At 47.1% G+C, this 18771-nt stretch overlaps 1 protein-coding gene across 1 annotated transcript in view, besides 4 other annotated features; it reads left to right on the plus strand.

Annotated features, from left to right (window-relative positions):
* Positions 210-711: an enhancer, noted in NCBI's record as "H3K4me1 hESC enhancer chr16:23183549-23184050 (GRCh37/hg19 assembly coordinates)". NCBI's record gives its function as "activates a minimal SCP1, AML or CMV promoter by ChIP-STARR-seq in naive H9 embryonic stem cells {active_cell/tissue: H9 hESC(naive)}" and the evidence as "EXISTENCE:reporter gene assay evidence [ECO:0000049][PMID:30033119]".
* Positions 10449-10698: a silencer, noted in NCBI's record as "silent region_7275". NCBI's record gives its function as "represses an Ori minimal core promoter by ATAC-STARR-seq in GM12878 lymphoblastoid cells {active_cell/tissue: GM12878}" and the evidence as "EXISTENCE:reporter gene assay evidence [ECO:0000049][PMID:35858748]".
* The window catches only part of SCNN1G (sodium channel epithelial 1 subunit gamma), a 34139-nt gene continuing 26094 nt past the window's right edge, over positions 10727-18771 (plus strand). Inside the window, exons 1-3 of the mRNA NM_001039.4 lie at positions 10727-10795; positions 14210-14570; positions 17353-17653. Coding sequence (NP_001030.2) covers positions 14254-14570; positions 17353-17653 — 618 coding nt within the window. The 5' untranslated portion in view covers positions 10727-10795; positions 14210-14253. The remainder of the gene's footprint in view (positions 10796-14209; positions 14571-17352; positions 17654-18771) is intronic.
* Positions 13734-14235: an enhancer, noted in NCBI's record as "H3K4me1 hESC enhancer chr16:23197073-23197574 (GRCh37/hg19 assembly coordinates)". NCBI's record gives its function as "activates a minimal SCP1, AML or CMV promoter by ChIP-STARR-seq in naive H9 embryonic stem cells {active_cell/tissue: H9 hESC(naive)}" and the evidence as "EXISTENCE:reporter gene assay evidence [ECO:0000049][PMID:30033119]".
* Positions 14236-14735: an enhancer, noted in NCBI's record as "H3K4me1 hESC enhancer chr16:23197575-23198074 (GRCh37/hg19 assembly coordinates)". NCBI's record gives its function as "activates a minimal SCP1, AML or CMV promoter by ChIP-STARR-seq in naive H9 embryonic stem cells {active_cell/tissue: H9 hESC(naive)}" and the evidence as "EXISTENCE:reporter gene assay evidence [ECO:0000049][PMID:30033119]".

Here is an 18771-nt window from a genome sequence, read left to right on the forward strand (position 1 = left end):
GGACATTGTCCAGCCAGCCTATTCAGTGTGTATAGATGAGTGATATCATGGTCAGATTACCTTTAGAACCGGACATGCACAATTTTTTTCTTTTTTTTTTTTTTTGAGATAGAGTCTAGCTCTGTCACCCAGGCTGGAGTGCAGTGACACCATCTCGGCTCACAGCAACCTCTGCCTCCTGGGTTCAAGCGATTCTCCTGCCTCAGGCTCCCAAGTAGCTGGGACTACAGGCACTCACCACCATGCCAGGTTAATTTTTGTAGTTTTAGTAGAGGTAGGGTTTCACCATATTGGTCAAGCTGGTCTCGCACTCCTGACCTCAGGTGATCTGCCTGTCTCAGCCTCCCAAAGTTCTGGGATTACTGGCATGAGCCACCACGCCTGGCCTATTCTTGCTGTTGTGGATAGCTATGTTCTATAAAGTTGCCACAAACACTGACTTAGTGAATACTGAACCATTCTTTCTTCTTCTTTTTTTTTTTTTTTTTTTTGGCAGGTTTCAAAAACTCGCTTTATTCCAATGTAAAATGAAGACATGATGGTTTAAAAACAAGAAAAGTTATTGATCAACTGTGAGGATGCTTTTGCTCACGTCCACCGCCTTTGAAACAACATGCCTGGACAGACCACACCCATAAGCAGCTCTCCGCAAAGACCCAGGCAGATGCCCCAGCCCCCTCCAGCTCACAAGGCAGCCAGCTACTCCTTCATCAGAGCTCCAACAGCAGGCACAGAGAAGCAGCACGGGCAGCGGGGAGGGGAAGCAGTGGGGCCTGTGGGGGCCCCCGCCACCCACAGAGCTAGTCTCTGTAGAAGGTGCTGTGTGGCAAGGACCAGGAAGGGAACTGCGCTACAGAGAGCTGACATCACTTCTGCATCTTTAACTTTCCCCAGGATCCAAGATTCAGCCCTGCTTCCCCCAGCCCCTCCCCAGCCCCACTGTGCATTAGGCAGCTCAGGTTAAAATGGGGAGAAGGTCAACCATTGCTTCTAGACAAAATACAGAGTTAGGTTTCCGAGAGCCTCTGGTCACAACATTTTCATCAACTGATCAATATGTAACTTTGCTTTATGTGTGTTTCTGTTTAAAGTCACCTTATTTAATATGTAGTTGATGCAATAACATTGACATCATGGCCAACATTACTATAATTCATGCCTTAATAAAGCCTGTCTAACATATGCCTTTCTCAGTAAGGCACATACAGTCTTGCTGTGCTTAGGAATACTAGATAGCACTTCGCACTACACTTGGGGGCCGTTGTACTCTAAGCACAATTTAGTGGAATTGTAAATCAGTGACAGAAAGAAATTTGGGAAATTCACAAATATGTGACAATTAAGACACTCCCAAATAAATATTGGATCAAAAAAGAAACCACCGGCTGGGCATGGTGGCTCATGCCTGTAATCCCAGCACTTTGGGAGGCTGAGGAGGGCAGATCATGAGGTCAGGAGTTCAAGACCAGCCTGGCCAACATAGTGAAATCCCATCTCTACTAAAAATACAAAAAATCAGTAGAGCGTGTTGGCAGAAGCCTGTAATCCCAGCTACTTGGGAGGCTGAGGTAGAATTGCTTGAACCTGGGAGATGGAAGTTGCAGTGAACAGAGATTGCATCATTGCACTCCAGCCTGGGTGACAGTGCAAGACTCTGTCTCAAAAAAAAAAAAATTAAAAAATTAAAAAATAAACCAACAGAGAAATTAGAAAATATTTTGAGGTGAGTAAAAATGACACAACATATAAAAATTAGAGGATGTAGCTTAAGCAGTTATTAGGGAGAAATTTACAGCTGTGAACACCTACATTAAAAAAGAAGAAAGATCTCAAATCAATAACCTAACTCTACACTCTCAGACTCAAGAAAAGGGAGAGTGAATGAAATCATGTAGGGCCTTATGGGCCATTGTAAGGACATCATCTTCCATAACCTCTGAGTATCTTTTGTGTTCTGAGACTTGGAGAAAAATCCAAAAGATGAAGAACAAACCCACGGGCTTAAAGAAAACTAAAAAAAAACCCAGTCAATTCTCATTATTCATGGATTTCATATTTCACTAGAATTTATTTGTAACCCTAAAATCAATACTTGCAATGCCTTTAGGGACATGTGCCAAGCAGCAAAAATTTTAGTCACCCACTGTGCTTGTTCCCAGCTGAGGTCAAATAAGGCAACACTCTACCCTCTTGTTTCAGCTCTTATACTGTAAACTCATGTCCTTTTTTGCAGCCTATATAGGCTGCCACAATTTTCACATTTTTGTTTTGTTGGTGAGTTTGCTCCCTAGCGCTGAAGTGCTATCTAATATTCCTAAGCACAGGAAGGCTGTATGTGCCTTACTGAAAAAATATATGTGTTAGGTAAGCTTTATTCAGGCATGAGTTATATAGTGCTGTTGGCCATTATTTCAATGTTATTGAATCAACTATATATTAAACAAGGTGACTTTAAACAAGAACACACATAAAACAAAGTTACGTATCGATCAGTTAATGACAACGTTGTGACCAGAGGCTCTCGGGAACCGAACTCTATATTTCTTCTAGAAGCAATGGTTCAGTATTCACTAATTCAGTGTTTGTGGCAGCTTTATAGAACATAGCTAGCCCAAATAGCAAGAATTGATTGTACATGTCCAGTTCTAAAGGTAATCTGACCATGATATCTCTCATCCACACAGACTGAATAGACTGGCTGGAGAATGCCCCTTTCACTCCTTCATCTATTCATTCCAAAATTGTGAATTGCATGTCATGGGCGATGAGGCTTCCACTGGAGACCTCCTGCATAAAAGGAGAAACTATGGCTGCTGTCCGCAGTGCTGATATCTAAAGCCAGCTTCTCTCAAGAGAAGCAGCATCAAAAAAATTGAAATCCACACAACTGAATCTGAGGACCCTGGTTCCTACTCCCCAAAGGTCAAAGACAGTAGGTTGCCCCAAAAGACTAAGTCATTAAGAATGCATGAAGAGAGAGCATTAATCCCATCTTGGTGGGGCAAGATAACATCCACAAGAACTGAGGGACATCATTCTAGATTTGTAGGAATCCTGGAAAGAGTCAAACTTGGGAGCAAGATTACTTATCTCCTCTGGATCCCACATTTAGCCAACCCTGTGCCACAGATGCCTAAGCCTTAGTAGCAGCTTAACCAAGTTTTCTAAGCCACTTTATATATCTTTATATCTCCTCTGACTCTATGGAAGTTTTGAGATCTCCTGCTATCTCTTGTGACTAGCCTCCTGAGACCCTGAACCCCAGCAGTGATCCTCTAAGGACCAGAAACTCTACAGAGGTATTGCAAAAACGTTCCAACGCTGGGCGTGGTGGCTCACGCAGCCCTTTGGGAGCAGCACTTTGGGAGGCCGAGGTGGGCGGATCACGAGGTCAGGAGTTCGAGACCAGCCCGACAAACATAGTGAAACCCCGTCTCTACTAAAATATATACAAAAAAATTAGCCGGGCGTGGTGGCACATGACTGTAATCCCACCTACTCAGGAGGTTGAGGCAGGAGAATCACTTGAACCTGGGAGGTGAGCTGAGATCGCACCACTGCACTCCACCCTGGGTGACAGAGTGAGATTCTGTCTCAAAACAAAAACAAAAACAAATGTTCCAAAGGAGTATAAATAGAATTTCAGGGAAAGCAATGCATTGGAGAAGCCAAGAGAAGAGAGTGTTTCACTGAGACAATTATCAGTTGCAAGTGCCAAAGAAGGCAACAGTAGAGAAATTATGCAATATGAGATGTTTTTGCAACCCAGAATTTATTCTGATTTTGCTTGGAAAGAACCACTTCTTCCCCATTCTCAGCCCTTGTGTTTTGAGTGAAGCTGAATCTACCCAGAGACAGAGCATATAATCCAAGCCTAAGCCAATCAATGCATCCCATTCTTCTAATCATGGTGTTCAACTGGAAGTTGAAACAGCCAGGCATGGTGACTTGCACCTTTAATCCCAGCTACTCAGAAGGCTTAAGCCCAGAAATTCAAGGCTGCAGTGAACTATGATTACACAACTGCCCTCCAGCCTGGGCAACAGAATAAGACCTCATCTCTAATAAGTAAAAAAAGAAGTTGAAACATGCCTCAAACAAGGCAATAAAGCTCAATCAAGATTGTCCTACAATATGTGCTTAAGCTATCAGTCCTTCTGGACTCAGCATTATGTATATGTAGAAGCTAGAGCTAGTGCAGCCATCTTGCAACAACACTGGACAGAGAATGGTGTGAACACTGATGAATTAGAACCAAGACTCAAAGGCAGAAAAACCAGGACCTGTTGACATCTTTTGAATTCAAGTGTAAGCTGAGCCTGAAGCCAGACTCCCTTATACATGAGCTAATTTGTTTCATTCTTTAGCCTAAGCTAGTTCACGGTTGTTTGATTCTGATATCTGCAATATATAGAGTTTTACCTGAATTAGAAATAAGTGCTGGATGCAGAATGTTTTGAGTGATGCATGATAAAATGTGGAATTTACAAGGGCCAAATCGATGGGGTATAGGGCAATAAAAGCCCCTCCGACACAGCTGGGAAGTTGTGCTTTCAATAAGCCCCCATCACCATGGGTAATCTGTGCATTCTCTTGACCCATAAAAAAGTCTAATTAGTAAAAGAATGTTTTTTCACTCTGAAAGGCCAAGGCAGGCGGATCACTTGAGCTCAGGAGTTCGAGACCAGTCTGGGCAACATGGCAAAATCCCATCTCTACAAAAAATACAAAAGTTAGCCAGGCACAGTGGCATGTGCCTGTAGTCCCAGCTACTTGGGAGGCTGAGGCAGGAGAATAGCTTGAACCCAGTGGGTGGAGGCTGCAGTGAGTCGACACTGTGCCACTGCGCTCCAGCCTGGGTGGCAGCAGTGAAACCCTGTCTCAAAAAAAAAAAAAGTCTCTTACACTAGAAAAATGGTACTAACTTTTGCCAGAAACATATGTGTACCCTTTGGGGAAAAAGGGTCCTAGAAAATTAATGTAACCAAGCTTATATTTCTCTATTTCAACAACTGATGCTATTGGCTTAAGCTAAGACTATACACAGAAATAGTATCCAGGTCATTGAATTAGAGTCCAATTAATAAATAAGAATGGTCTTCTACCATGCCACCACCCTCATCAGCCCAGCAAGAAAGACTTTCCTTGTCTTCAACAAGGAAGACCTTGTTGATTGCTTCTTAGAACCCTCCCATCCGACTACATAATATAAATGTGATCCTGGAAATGTGAGTCCCTTTGACCCCACACCTGACTCATATTAGCCTTAGGTCCTATGAAGATAATTTGGTAAACTTTGGGTCTTATTGAGATAGCTGGTTGGGCGCGGTGACTCACACCTGTAGTCCCAGCACTTTGGGAGGCTGAAGTAGGTGGATCACTTGAAGTCAGGAGTTCGAGACCAGCCTAGCCAACACAATGAAACCCCGTCTCTACTAAAAATACAAAAGAAATAGCCTGACATGTTGGAGCATGCCTATAATCCCAGCTACTCAGGAGGCTGAAGCACGATAATTACTTGAACCCAAGAGGCAGAGATTGCAGTGAACTGAGATCACGCCACTGCACTCCAGCCTGGGTGACAGAGACAACATCTAAAAAAAAAAAAAGAGAGAGAGAGCTAGGATCAAGGGGAGTCTATTTCCCTGTCAGAGTTCTAATTACCTGTTATCCCTTTAAATAGCTCAGGGCTCTCCCTGTTGTCATTTGGCATATAAAAATGTTGCCCAGATTTGTAGATATTCATCTGGGACTAGATATGAAATACACTCACTTTAAGAAACAGAAGAAGACATCACCACATCCAAGTGGGAAGATAGGATTTTTATTCTCTATATTAGTTGGGACTTTTTTGGTTTTGAGTGAGATAAACAACTCAAAATGTCCTAAACACAATAGCAAGTTTATTGGCTCATATGACTGAGAATTCCAGAAGGTAGACCCAGCTGTAGGCAGTGCTGGGTCCAGAGACTTGCTGGAACCCTCTCCATCACTGGGCTCTGCTTTTCTTTGTGTTGGTTTCACTCTAAGGCCCTATGTGATACTTTCCACAGCCCTTGGATCACACAGTCCTTTCTGCTAGAAGTCCCAGTAAAAAGAGACATCCTCCTTTGCAATATTCTAGACAAAGTCTTGGGTGGGTGTGACTCTCAGACTCTCATTGGATTGAATTTCTGTCTGTGCCCACTCCTGAGCAAAAGACTGTAACCTAAAGGCCAGGCATGGTGGCTCATGCCTGTAATTCCAGCAATTTAGGAGGCCAAAGTGGGTGGATCACCTGAAGTTAGGAGTTTGAGACCAGCCTGGCCAACATGGTGAAACCCTGTCTCTACTAAAAAAAAAAAAAAGAAAAAAAAGAAATTATCCGGGTGTGGTGGTGTGCACATGTAGTCCCAGCTACTTGGGAGGCTGAGGCAGGAGAATCACTTGAACCCAGGAGGCGGAGATTGCAGTGAGCCGAGATAGCACCACTGCATTGCAGCCTGGACGACAAAGCGAGATTCCATCTCAAAAAAAAAAAAAAAGACTATAACCTGAGTGACAAGATAAGCTGATTTGCTAGAGCCAGAGATGGGGGTCAACCTAAGTTGAACCACATGAATGAGGATGGGGGGTGTGGATAGGATTGAATGGTTCTCCAAAGGAAATTCAGGGATGTCTCTAGAATAAAAAGAATGGATATTGGCAGAAAAACAAGCAAATGGCTTCTACACCATTGCTCTCGACAAGCAAGTCTAAAATCTTAGTATTTAGGGGGCAATGTAAGTCTCATCTATATTGCTTTTTCCTAAGTGGACCAGAAGTGTTTTTTTGAAAACAAAGGGAAATGTTGGTTCACTTGTTTTAAGGTTTCTTCCTCACTTACAGCCACATGATCTGAGAATTTCCCATTTACCAGTAGTGGTGAATCTCTTCAGTCATATTTGTTTTACCCATTCCTACCCTCACAGTGTTAGCTGATTGGACCAGGAATGAATACACCTGAGCCAAAGAAACTAGCTCATTGGCAGGCCAGTGGCCAATCAAATTTATCTTCAGGACTCATGAGACTAAGACAGGCTTTGAAAATTCAAGAAAGCCCACAAAATCCTCTGCCAGGCGCACTGACTTACACCTGTAATCCCAGCACTTTGAGAGGCCAATGCGGGTGGACTGCTTGAGCCCAGGAGTTCGAAACCAGCCTGGGCAATATAGAAAGACCTCCATCTCTACAAAACCCACAAAATGTATCTGGGTGTGGCAGTGCATGCCTATGTTCCCAGCTACTCTGGAGGCTGAGGGGGAAGTATCACTTGGGCCCAGGAGGTGGAGGTTGCAGTGAGCCGAGATCGCACCACTGCACTCCAGCCTGGGTGACAAAGCCAGACCCTGTCTCAAGTAAAAATAAAAATAAAAAAAGACCACAAAATCCTCCTCCTGAGAGATCCAGACCTTTCCTGGTTCCCATTCTCCTGAGACCCTCTGTGTTTCTTTGGATTCTGTAAAGGAGCCCTGCCTGCATCCATTTAATAATTTATTGATTCTGCTTGAGCTAATTTGAGTCTGTTTCTGTTGCCTGAAACCAAATGACTTTGCTAAGGCTAGGTTCGGTCATAGTCATATGCAAGGATGGCACGGAGGCCAGTGAAGGTGAAGCAGAATATGCGAGTGTGAGTAGGAAGAGACGAGGGCAGAGGGACAACAGGGTCAGATGATGGAGGGCCTTGCAGATGACCATAAGGATTTTGGCTTTCATTATAAATGAAGCAAGAAGCCACTGAATGGGTTTAAATAGAGAAATGGCATGATCTAACCTTAATTCAATAAGAATCTCTTTGACTGGCTTATTGACAAGAGGCTGTGGAGGGCAGAATTAGCAAGATTAGTGAGGAGCCTATGGCAATGATTCGGGTGAGAGACAATGATCAATTAGAGCATGGTGGTGGCCCCAGAGGTGGGGAGAAGTAGATTCTAGGTATATTTTATAAATCTGAACACTGATGCTTCAAGAAGGAGAGGACGTTGCCTATGGTCTTATGATGACAGGAGTGGTTTAGAGGCAATACCACTCTGTACTGAAGAATCAGATGGTGTTGGTCATAGGAGTGTACACATTTACCAAAACTCCTTGACTTGTACATTTTGGGCCAGGTGCAGTGGCTCATGCCTGCAATCATAACACTTTGAGAGGCCAAGGCAGGCAAATTTCTTGAGGCCAGGAGTTCAAGACCAGCCTGGGCAACATAGTGAAATTCCATCTCCACAAAAATAAAAAATTAGCCAGGCATGGTGGCACAGACCTCTAGTCCTAGCTACTATTTTGTAATCTGAGGCAGGAGGATTGCTTGAGCCCAGGAGTTGGAGGCTGCAGTGAGCTATGATCACACCACTGCATTCCACCCTGGGTGACAGAGCAAAACCTTGCCTCAAAAACAAACAAACAAAAAAATTGTGCGTTTCACTGTATATAAATTTTAACTTGAATCTAGCCTAATTCCATGCCTATAATGCCAGCACTTTGGGAGGCTGAGATGGGTAGATCCCTTGAACTCGGGAGTTCAAGACCAGCCTTGCAAACATGGTGAAACCCCTTCTCTACCAAAAAAAAAAAAAAAAAAAAATTAGTTGGGTATCGGTGGCATGCACCTGGGGTCCCAGCTACTTGGGAGGCTGAGGTGGGAGGATCCTTGGAGCCACAGGAAGTTGAGACTGCAGTAAGCCATGATCATGCCACTACATTCCAGCCTGGGTGACAGAGCAAGACCCTGTCTCAAAATAAATAAATAAATAAATAATTTAAAAGACAAAAAGAAGAAAAAGCTGGCTTTATTTTGCAGTGAGAATATAACTGTGTATTGTCATTCAAAACAAACATAGAATTTGAACAGTGTGTGTTTCAAAATCCCATTATATATGTATGTGTATATATATAAAACTAATATGTGTGTGTGGACACACACACATACACACACACCAAATAATAACCAAACTGTTAGCCATGCTTATTTGGGGAGGGGGGGGCACAGTTTATTGTTTTAATTCTTTGCAATGAGCATATATTGTTAGAAGAAGCAGCTGAGATTTTTTAGAGGATTTTCTTTAAATTTCTCTCCAATAATGCTGGACCTGTTTCCATCCACCTGGGCAAACCGCCCTTGGACCAGCAACCAAGGCATCTCCTAGGAATTTGGAAATTCGGACTCTTAAGACCCACTCCACCCCTATCGAGTCAGAATCTGCATTTTAACAACATCCATAGGTGATTGTAACCACATTCAAATCTGAGAAGCTCTAGGTAAGAACAGATCCTTTCCTCTCTCTGGGCTTCAGTTTCTCCCCGGCACAAAGGGGCTGTGTCTCTATGGTCCCTCCCAATTGCAGTTTTCTAATCTCGTTTCTTGTAGTTATCTGAGTCCCTATAAAAAGGCAGCTGAAGCTAGGAAAGGTGGCTTACCTCTGTAATTCCAGCTATTTGAGACGCTGAAGTGGGAGGCTCGCTTGAGCCCAGTAGTTGGCAGCTACAGTGAGCTATGATTGCAGCACTGCACTCCAGCCAAGGTGACAGAGGCAGACCCTGTTAAAAAAAGAAAGAGAGAAATAGAGGAAAGAAAGAAAGAAAAAGAAAGAAAGAAAGAAAGAAAGGAAGAAAGAAAAAGGAGGGAGGGAGGGAGGAAGGAAGGAAGGGAGAGAGAGAAAGAAGAAAGAGGGAGGAAGGAAGGAAGGAAGGCAAGCAAGCAAGAAAGAGAAAGGAAGGAAGGAAGGAAGGAAGGAAGGAAGGAAGGAAGGAAGGAAGGAAGGAAGGTGGGCGGGCGGGAAGGCAGGCAGGCAGGCAAGGAAGGAAGGAGGAAAGAAAGGAAAGAAAGAGAGAAAGAGAAAGAAGGACAGGCCAGGCGCGGTGGCTCACACCTGTAATCCCAGCACTTTGGGAGGCCAAGACGCGTGGATCACCTGAGGTCAGTAGTTTGAGACCAGCCTGGCCAACATGGTGAAACCGCGTCTCTACTAAAAACACAAAAATTAATCCGGGCATGGTGGCGCGCGCCTGTAACCCCAGCTACTTGGGAGGCTGAGGCAGGAGAATTGCTTGAACCCGGGAGGCGGAGGTTGTAGTGAGCTGAGATAGCGTCATTGCACTCCAGACTGGGCGACAGAGCGAGACTCCGTCAAAAAAAAAAAAAAAGAAGGAAAGAGGAAAAGAAAGAAGAAGGAAGGAGGAAATAACGAAAGAAAGAGAAAGAAGCAGCTGAAAAGGTCAAAGGATGAGTGGCCTGGCTGAACAGCCCCTGCTGCCTACAGCCGGACGCTGGTGGGCACTGAAGCTGCAGGTCTGGAGGGAGTCCGAGGAGCGAGGCTGCGTGGGATTACTGCTGGTGCTAGGGCAGGCACCTGCCATCTGGACGGGAGTGGAAGGAAGTCGCGGGGCAGTAATAGGGGGCAGCAGGCGCTTTGAGGCGCCTTGGGGTAAGTGCCGCAGAGACCCAGCGGGAATGCAGGATGGCAGGGCGGCCTCGGGGCGGCAGCAGGCACTGCGCGGTGGCCCAGGAAGACGCAGCGCGGCCGGGCTGGGGCGCAGGGCGGCTTCGGGGCGCCAGGGGGCGTTGTGAAGTCGTGGCCCGCTCCGGGCGGTCTCAGGTGCCTGGCGGCCTGGGGAAAGCACCTGGGCAGGTGGGGGCGGGGCCTGGGGAGGCGGGTCCCTAGGGGGCGGGGCCTGGCCGGCCCACAAGAGCCCGCGGTGGCGCTGCCAGGGGATGCTAGCCCGAGAGCGAGCAGAGGAGCAGCGCACCCGCACGAGCCTTGGACCCTTTGGAACCGAAAGGTGAGTTCAGCCGGGTTGGGTCGGACCAGCTCGGGGGTTCTGGGCACTGGAGCGGATGCCGGGCGCCAGGGCGTCGGACGCCGTCAGCGCGGTGGGTGGCCGAGCCAGCATCAGCCGGTGGCGGCTTCCCGGTGCCCGGGATGCTGGGACACCTTGCCCGGGCGGTAGCGGCCAGCTCTCCCGGGTCTACCCACGCCGTGGCCCGGAGCACGAAGCCAGTCGAGAGCCACTCAGAGTCCGGGGGTCTGGGGGTCCCGGGCCACACCTGGCCTCTTTTCTCCGCCCAGCGCCTGTTCAGCCCCCTTCCCTGCCGGGGTGAGTCGCGTGGACCTGTCCGCTACTGTTCCTTCTACCCTCTGGAATGCTTTCTCCGGGGTGACTTGGTGCAGAAAGAAGCAAACACTTGAAGTGGGCTGGTTGGATTCGCTCCAGCGCCTTCAGCCGGCGCTCCCCCGGGGCAGACGTGGCTTCCGCCACAGGACAGCGCCCGCTCGCTCCGCGCAGGGAGGGCAGGGCTGCGGGGTCGCTCGGCAGGAGCTCGGGTCAGGGCCCTGAGGTTGAGTTCAAGTGATTTCTGCACAGGACTCGCCCTTCGGGACGGGCACTGATCGGGAACTCTCCGGTCCAGCGAACCCAACGCTAGACTTGGGGCAAATCTCTCATCCCTCTCCAAGCTTTGGGGTCCTGCACTGTGGGATGGGGGACAGGCAAAGTCGGTGGTAGGTGAGGAGGGGGTGCACGGAGCCGCTGCGATGAGCCAGGGCCCTGGAATTCTAAAGAATCCTTCAAATCCTTTCTACCTGTGTGGTCTTGGGCAAATTACCTAACCTCTGTGCCTCAGTTTCCTTCTCTGTGAAATGGGCCAAGTAATAGCACCTCATATAACTGTAGTGAGGATTAAATCAGGTAGTGTGTGAAAAGGACTGAGTGGGATGCCTGGGAGTACAGAAAGGGATCAATAAGTGATAGCTGCCATTATTGCTGCTTTCCCTGCTGCTGTTATTATTATTAATGATTGAAGAGCAGCCTAGTTAGTCGTTAAAGGGACTCCTAGGTGCAAATCCCAGCTCAGCCACTTTCTAGTGTGACCTTGGGCAAGCTACTTAACCTGTCAGCGTCTGTTTCATTTGTACAATGGAGGTGGTTGTGATACCTACCTCAGACGATTATCGTGAAAATTAAATGAGGTGACAGCTGCAAAGTACTTAGAAGAGTAAGTGCTGGGTATCAGCTAGTAATTCTTCCACCAAGGGTATCACATTGGCTCAGGCTGCATAATCTAATGGTAGCTACAGTCTTGTTTTGCTTTGAAGTTGAAATATTATTTATATGAATATTTTATCTGTTTTGCAAAGAGCAAGATCAGTTCCCTTCCTTCACTTGGGGGCTCCTCTGACATTGTCGACTGATCCATTGGGGTCAAGGTCGGTTCTGGGGAAGGGGCTGATGGGGCAGAGGTACCCCTGAGAGCTGGGGATAGGAGCTTCCAGAATCACAGCTTCTGTTGAACATTCACAGAGGAGGGCTGCAGTTTTATTTGACAAGCAATTGAACCTGGACCTAGATTTTAAAAACAAACTCTCGCTAATTTTTTTCTTTCTTTCCTTCTTCTTTATTTCATTTTTTATTTTTTTGGATTGTAGTGAGGGAGGAGGTAAGGATAGGCAATATTTTAAGTGATAAAAAAATAAATTATATTCCTCTTGCCCAGAGGCTACTAGCATCATTTTGATGGTGTTCTTCATCCCAGCAAAATCATATCAATCTATGGAGGGTTTAGAGCAGTTTGTCTGCTCTGGACATCTCACCTCCATGCCCAGCACTCCATTTCCTTTCCATCTGAGGCCTTAAACCCACTAGCATCATAAGCTTGGAAGCCTCCTAGCTTTGCCCCAGCTTCCAATTTTAGCCCATATTTCATGGGTTCAGGGTGGGAAAAAAAGACATAACTCTGCAGGTTCCGAATACTGCCTAAAAATCTTGATGGGGCACATCGAAGTCACAGACATGGGTCCTCTCTGGTCCTGGGGACCACCCTGTATGCCCTAGGATATGTCCTAATTTGCCTTTGTCACTGTAGAAGGCATAGGACGACACAGTTTTCATATATCCCCCACCCCCAATACTAGTGCTCACAAGTCTTGGGAAGTGGTCATGTGCACTGTTCAGAGTTTGGAAATTAAATAGCTGTGTTCCTTCTCTTTCCTCCTACCTTTAGTTCTTGGTATTGTTAATTAACTCCCTGCACCCAGCGTACTACCAGGCCCCTCAAAGGCGTATGCCATAGCGGTGAAGGCTGCAGGGTTCCATCCAGCTCCTCCACTAACCAGCTGCATCATCTTACACAAGATATTCAACCTCTCTGAGCCCATTTTTCTCCTCTGTAACATGGATATAATAATAGCATGCCTACTTCATGGAATTATTGAAACACAAAAGGAAATATATGTAGGCTATGTGTATATTTATAGAGAGAGACAAATTTACTTATGAGACTAATGAGACTATATATTATAAACATGAAATGAGTTTTTATGTAGTATATTAGTTCATTTCTAAAATTATTTCTCATTGTAAAGTTTGTATAGTTGAGATGCATCGTGCACATTGATGAATGTGATAATTTGCCTTCCAATACTGGTACTCTCCCCCAAAGCTGTTATTAAATCAAGGGCATTCTCTAAATTAATGGTATCTTAGAATCAAGGAAATATGGCACAATGCCTGGCAAACACTAAGTGGCCAATAGTTGCAGGTTATTGTTACATCAGGTGATCTAGAAACATTAAGAGCTTGACTGTAAAGAGAAGAAACAAAAGAGAAATCGTTTCACTTATAATAAAGCCTCAGAGAAAAGGCTGGGGAAAATGCAGCCAGGAACATGATCTAAGGTGGCTGCCGGGAAATTTTCTTGGCAGATTTCATCTGTCAGTTACAATCTGCCGAGCACTGCTCTGTGCCAGACACTGTGCTAGGAACCAGGGGGCATAATGAGATAGGAATGCTGCCCTTGAGGAAGGCGGGCTACTGGAGGTGATAAGGCACGGGTACCCCTGCCTGATAAGAGAGCTGATGGGGCTGCTTCCAGAGTTCCTGCCCAGGAACCCGGGGAAAGGTCCTGCAGCCTGTCCAGCCAGCGCTTCGCAGGTTGCACCTCACCCAGCCCCCGCACGGCTAGGCCTGGGGGCCGTAAGAGAAGTAGGCAGCTTCTCTGGCAGCTGTGGTGGCCAAAAACAAACGTCCCGTGGAAAAGGGGCCAAGGATTCAGAATGCAAAGTGCCTAAGCCACAGAGGAACAGAGGAAGGAGGTCTCTAAGGGCGCATGGACTGGTGTTTCCCAGACTGTGGTCTCCAGGGACACACTAGCCGGCTAGTGCCTGCCAGCTCACCTGCTTCTCTTCTTTGCCCCTCCAGCACGCCCGTCCTCAGAGTCCCGTCCTCAAAGTCCCATCCTCGCCATGGCACCCGGAGAGAAGATCAAAGCCAAAATCAAGAAGAATCTGCCCGTGACGGGCCCTCAGGCGCCGACCATTAAAGAGCTGATGCGGTGGTACTGCCTCAACACCAACACCCATGGCTGTCGCCGCATCGTGGTGTCCCGCGGCCGTCTGCGCCGCCTCCTCTGGATCGGGTTCACACTGACTGCCGTGGCCCTCATCCTCTGGCAGTGCGCCCTCCTCGTCTTCTCCTTCTATACTGTCTCAGTTTCCATCAAAGTCCACTTCCGGAAGCTGGATTTTCCTGCAGTCACCATCTGCAACATCAACCCCTACAAGTAAGAGGCATGAGCAGGGAAACGCGAGTAGGGAGCCAGGCCCCCCACAGAGGCCAAAGCCCCTCCCGAAAGTGACACACTGGCAGCCTGGAGGTCGATTCCAGCCTACAAATGTGCTTTCTAGAAATTTGAATTTGTTGCTAACGCTGGTAAACAGCCCCCTCCCCAGTTCTAAATCTGTATGTACCAAGTTTTCAGACCATCAGTGACTTGTTTTTTTTCTTTTCTTTTTCCTTTTTTGAGATGGAGTTTCGCTCTTGTTGCCCAGGCTGGGATGCAGTGGTGCGATCTCGGCTCACTGCAACCTCCACCTCCCAGGTTCTAACAATCCTCCCGAGTAGCTGGGACTACAGGGGTGTACCACAGCGCCAGGCTAATTTTTTTGTGTTTTTAGTAGAGACAGGATTTCACCATGCTTGGCCAGGCTGGTCTTGAACTCCTGACCTCAGGTGATCCACCCGCCTTGGCCTCCCAAAGTGCTTGGATTACAGGTGTGAGCCACAGTACCTGGCCTTTTCTTTTTTTTTTTTTTTTTTTGGAGGCAGGGTCTCACTCTGTCACCCAAGCTGGAGTGCAGTGGTGCAATCATAGCTCCCTGCAGCCCCGACCTCCTGGGCTCAAGCAATTCTCCTACTGCAGCCTCCTGAGTAGCTGGGACTATAGGCACATGCCACCACATCCAGCTAAAATTTTTTATTTTTTAAGAGATGGGGTCTCGCTATGTTACTCAGGCTGGTCTCAAACTCCTGAGCTCAAGTGGTGCTGCCACTTTGGTCTCTCAAAGTGCTGAGATTACAGGAGTGAACCACCACACCCACTCCATCAATGACTTCTGAGGATGGGCTAGCCCAGAGAGAGCAGAAAGAGGAAGCTGCAGGATTTGTTTCACTTAGAAGAGGCCTGGAACGAACTAACCCCCTCTGCACACTCCCCATATCAAGCCCAAATTAGCCAACCCCCATCTGCATCTGCACCCCTGGCTCTCCGAGCTCACATGTTCACTCTGCCTGCAGCATAAGTGAGCTCAAGGCTGACTCAGAAGTGACACCCAGGTGACTTCTGTAAGCACCTCAGCTGCCCCAAACCCTCATCTGAATAAACCCAGCCCCATTAATTGAGCTCATCGGGCCCTGGGTGTGATCAGCCCTTGGGACTGCCCTATCATCCTCGGCAGGACCTGTTCTAAATGGGTCATCAGAGTCCTTCTCAGGATTATGGAAAACTGGTCCGTGAGGCAGGTCAGAATCAGGCAGACTTTGTCAGAGCAGGGGTGGGGAGAAGGGAAGAAGAACAGGGGAGAAAGATTATCAAACGAAACTAACTTGTCCAGAATCGTCAGTGAGTTGGTGCAAAGCTCAAAATCAAGATCAAGTCTAAGACTCTCTCTCCGCCCTCCATGTCTTCCTCTTCTTTCTTTCTCCCTCCCTCCTTCTCTCTCTCTCTCTGGTCCTCCTTCCTTCTTTCCATCCATTATTTGTTCCATAATAATTTACTCAGCATCTATAAACTGTCATGCACTGTACTAGGTTCTGGGATAGAGAACTGAACAACCCAAACACAGTATTTGCCCTAGTGGAGCTTATACTGTAGTGGAGGAATAAAGTCTTAATAAATATAATAACACTAATATAACTAACAATAGAGGCACAGTGGCTCATGCCTGAAATCTCAGCACTTTCAGAAGCCAAGGCATGAGGATTGCTTGAGGCCAGGAATTCGAGACCAGCCTGGGCAACAGAGCAAGGCCCCCTCTCTAAAAATATTTTATTTTAAATTAGCCAGGTGTGATGGCACACATTCATAGTCCCAGCAACTTAGGAGGCTGAAGTGGGAGGATTGCTTGAGCCCAGGAGTTCTAGGCTGCAGGGAACCATGATTGCACCACTGCACTCCAGCCTGGGCAACAGAGTGAGACCCTGTCTCTAAAATAATAACAATAATAGAGGGCATTTAATTATCTATATGTATGTCTGTGTGTGTTTATTATATTTAATAAACTCATTGAACCTTCCCAGCAAATCCCGTTTTACAAAGGAGAATGCTAAAACACAGAGAGGCTAAGACATTTGTCCAAGGTCAGGTAGCCAGTACCAGGATGGGGAACCTAAACTCAGGTAATTTGGCTAAACCCAGGGGTTTCTATTCTCAATTGCTATGCTCTGCTGCCTATGCCTAGAGCAAGTGGGAGAAAGGAGAGAGGAGAGAGTTAAGAGGAGGCTGGAACCATTTGATTTGTGAAAATTAAAAGATGGTATATTGTGCTTCACGCAGGCAACTCCTTTATAACTATTTTGTGTTCTTGGGGGTCATCGAGGTAACAGTTATACCCTCCTTCCCCCCAGCACAGATTTGAGGACAATCAGTGGGCAGAGGCAGAGTGAGCTGGGTGGAGAAGGAGCCTGCCCATTAGGTAGACTCCTGGTTGGCAGTTATTTACTTGTCCTCACTGTGGCTGGTTTATGGGAGGCACCTGACAGTCACCACTACAGAAATGCTGGTTGGGACAAACTTGTCAACACACCCTGAGGGCAAGCAGACAGTGGTGGCAGAGGTGAAGCCACAGGAAGTCACACATGGGTCACCCATGAGCCTTTCCCCATTTGCCAGAGCCAGGGGTCACTTTGGATGGGTCAAGTCATGAAAGGCGTGGTCTCCTCTGCCAAGGAGTTGGGAAAGGTGGGCATGAGGCTGACACGTGTTGATGGAAAACAGCCTGGAGGAGCACCAGAGTTCTGCCAGGGCCGCCTCCCCTCTCCCTGACTTTTCCTCCCCACCTTGGCAGGTACAGCACCGTTCGCCACCTTCTAGCTGACTTGGAACAGGAGACCAGAGAGGCCCTGAAGTCCCTGTATGGCTTTCCAGAGTCCCGGAAGCGCCGAGAGGCGGAGTCCTGGAACTCCGTCTCAGAGGGAAAGCAGCCTAGATTCTCCCACCGGATTCCGCTGCTGATCTTTGATCAGGATGAGAAGGGCAAGGCCAGGGACTTCTTCACAGGGAGGAAGCGGAAAGTCGGCGGTAGCATCATTCACAAGGCTTCAAATGTCATGCACATCGAGTCCAAGCAAGTGGTGGGATTCCAACTGGTAAGATTTCACCTTCTCATTCTTTCACTGCTTAGGGGCATGGGATGGGCTGGGTCCAGGACTCTTCTCCTTGACCACTAGCCCCTGTGGTCCAACTGGAAGAAATACACCCAGCTGGGGTCAGACACAGTGACTCATGCTTGTAATCCCAGCGCTTTGGGAGGCCAAGGCGGGCGAATCACCTGAGGTCAGGAGTTCGAGACCAGCCTGGCCAACGTGGTAAAACCCATCTCCACTAAAATACAAAAATTAGCTGGGCATGGTGGCACATGCCTGTAATCTCAGCTACTTGGGAAGCTGAGGCAAGAGAATTGCTTGAACCCGGGAGGTGGAGGTTGCAGTGAGCCCAGATGGTGCCACTGCACTCCAGCCTGAGTGACAGAATGAGACTCTGTTAAAAAAAAAAGGGGAGAGTTGGGGGGCAAACGGAGGGAGAGCATTAGGACAAATACCTAATGCATGCGGGGCTTAAAACCTAGGTGACTGGTTGATAGGTGCGGCAAACCACCATGGTACATGTATACCTTTGTAACAAACCTGCATGTTCTGCACATGTATCCCAGCACTTAAAGTAAAATTATTTTTTAAAAAAAGAAAGAAAGAGAGAAAGAAAGAAAAGAAAGGAAAGAAAGGAAAGACACCCAGCTGGGATGATTCAGCTGCAAACAACTGAAACTGATTCAGGTAATTTTAAGTAGTGGGGGGCAGAGTGGGGGTAAATGTATTAGAAGGCAACCAGTAACTCATGGAGGCCTCTCAAAGGGCAGAAATTAGGGCAGATGCAGGGATCTGGGTAGCAAGAAATGATGAAAAGTCATTTCAGATATTGCTGCTGGAGTAAAGAAGCATCAAATATGTTCAGTTTTTGTTGGTGTTGTTAATGCTTAAGAGTCAAATTCCATCTTGGGACTATCTGGTTGGTCAAGCTTGGGTCACCTAATCACCCTTTGGCTAATGGATGGTGGAGTATCTTCATGGACAATCTCACCAGGCTGTATCCAGAGGGGGAAAGGAAATTCTTCCAAAGCAAAATTGAGGTGCAGGCACCCAAAAGAAAAAGACGGACAATAAACAGCAGAAACATCAATATTCGTGCAGTACTTGCCTTCATGAGGTGC

The sequence above is a fragment of the Homo sapiens genome, chromosome 16, assembly GCF_000001405.40.
Source record: "Homo sapiens chromosome 16, GRCh38.p14 Primary Assembly".
Lineage (NCBI taxonomy): Eukaryota > Metazoa > Chordata > Mammalia > Primates > Hominidae > Homo > Homo sapiens.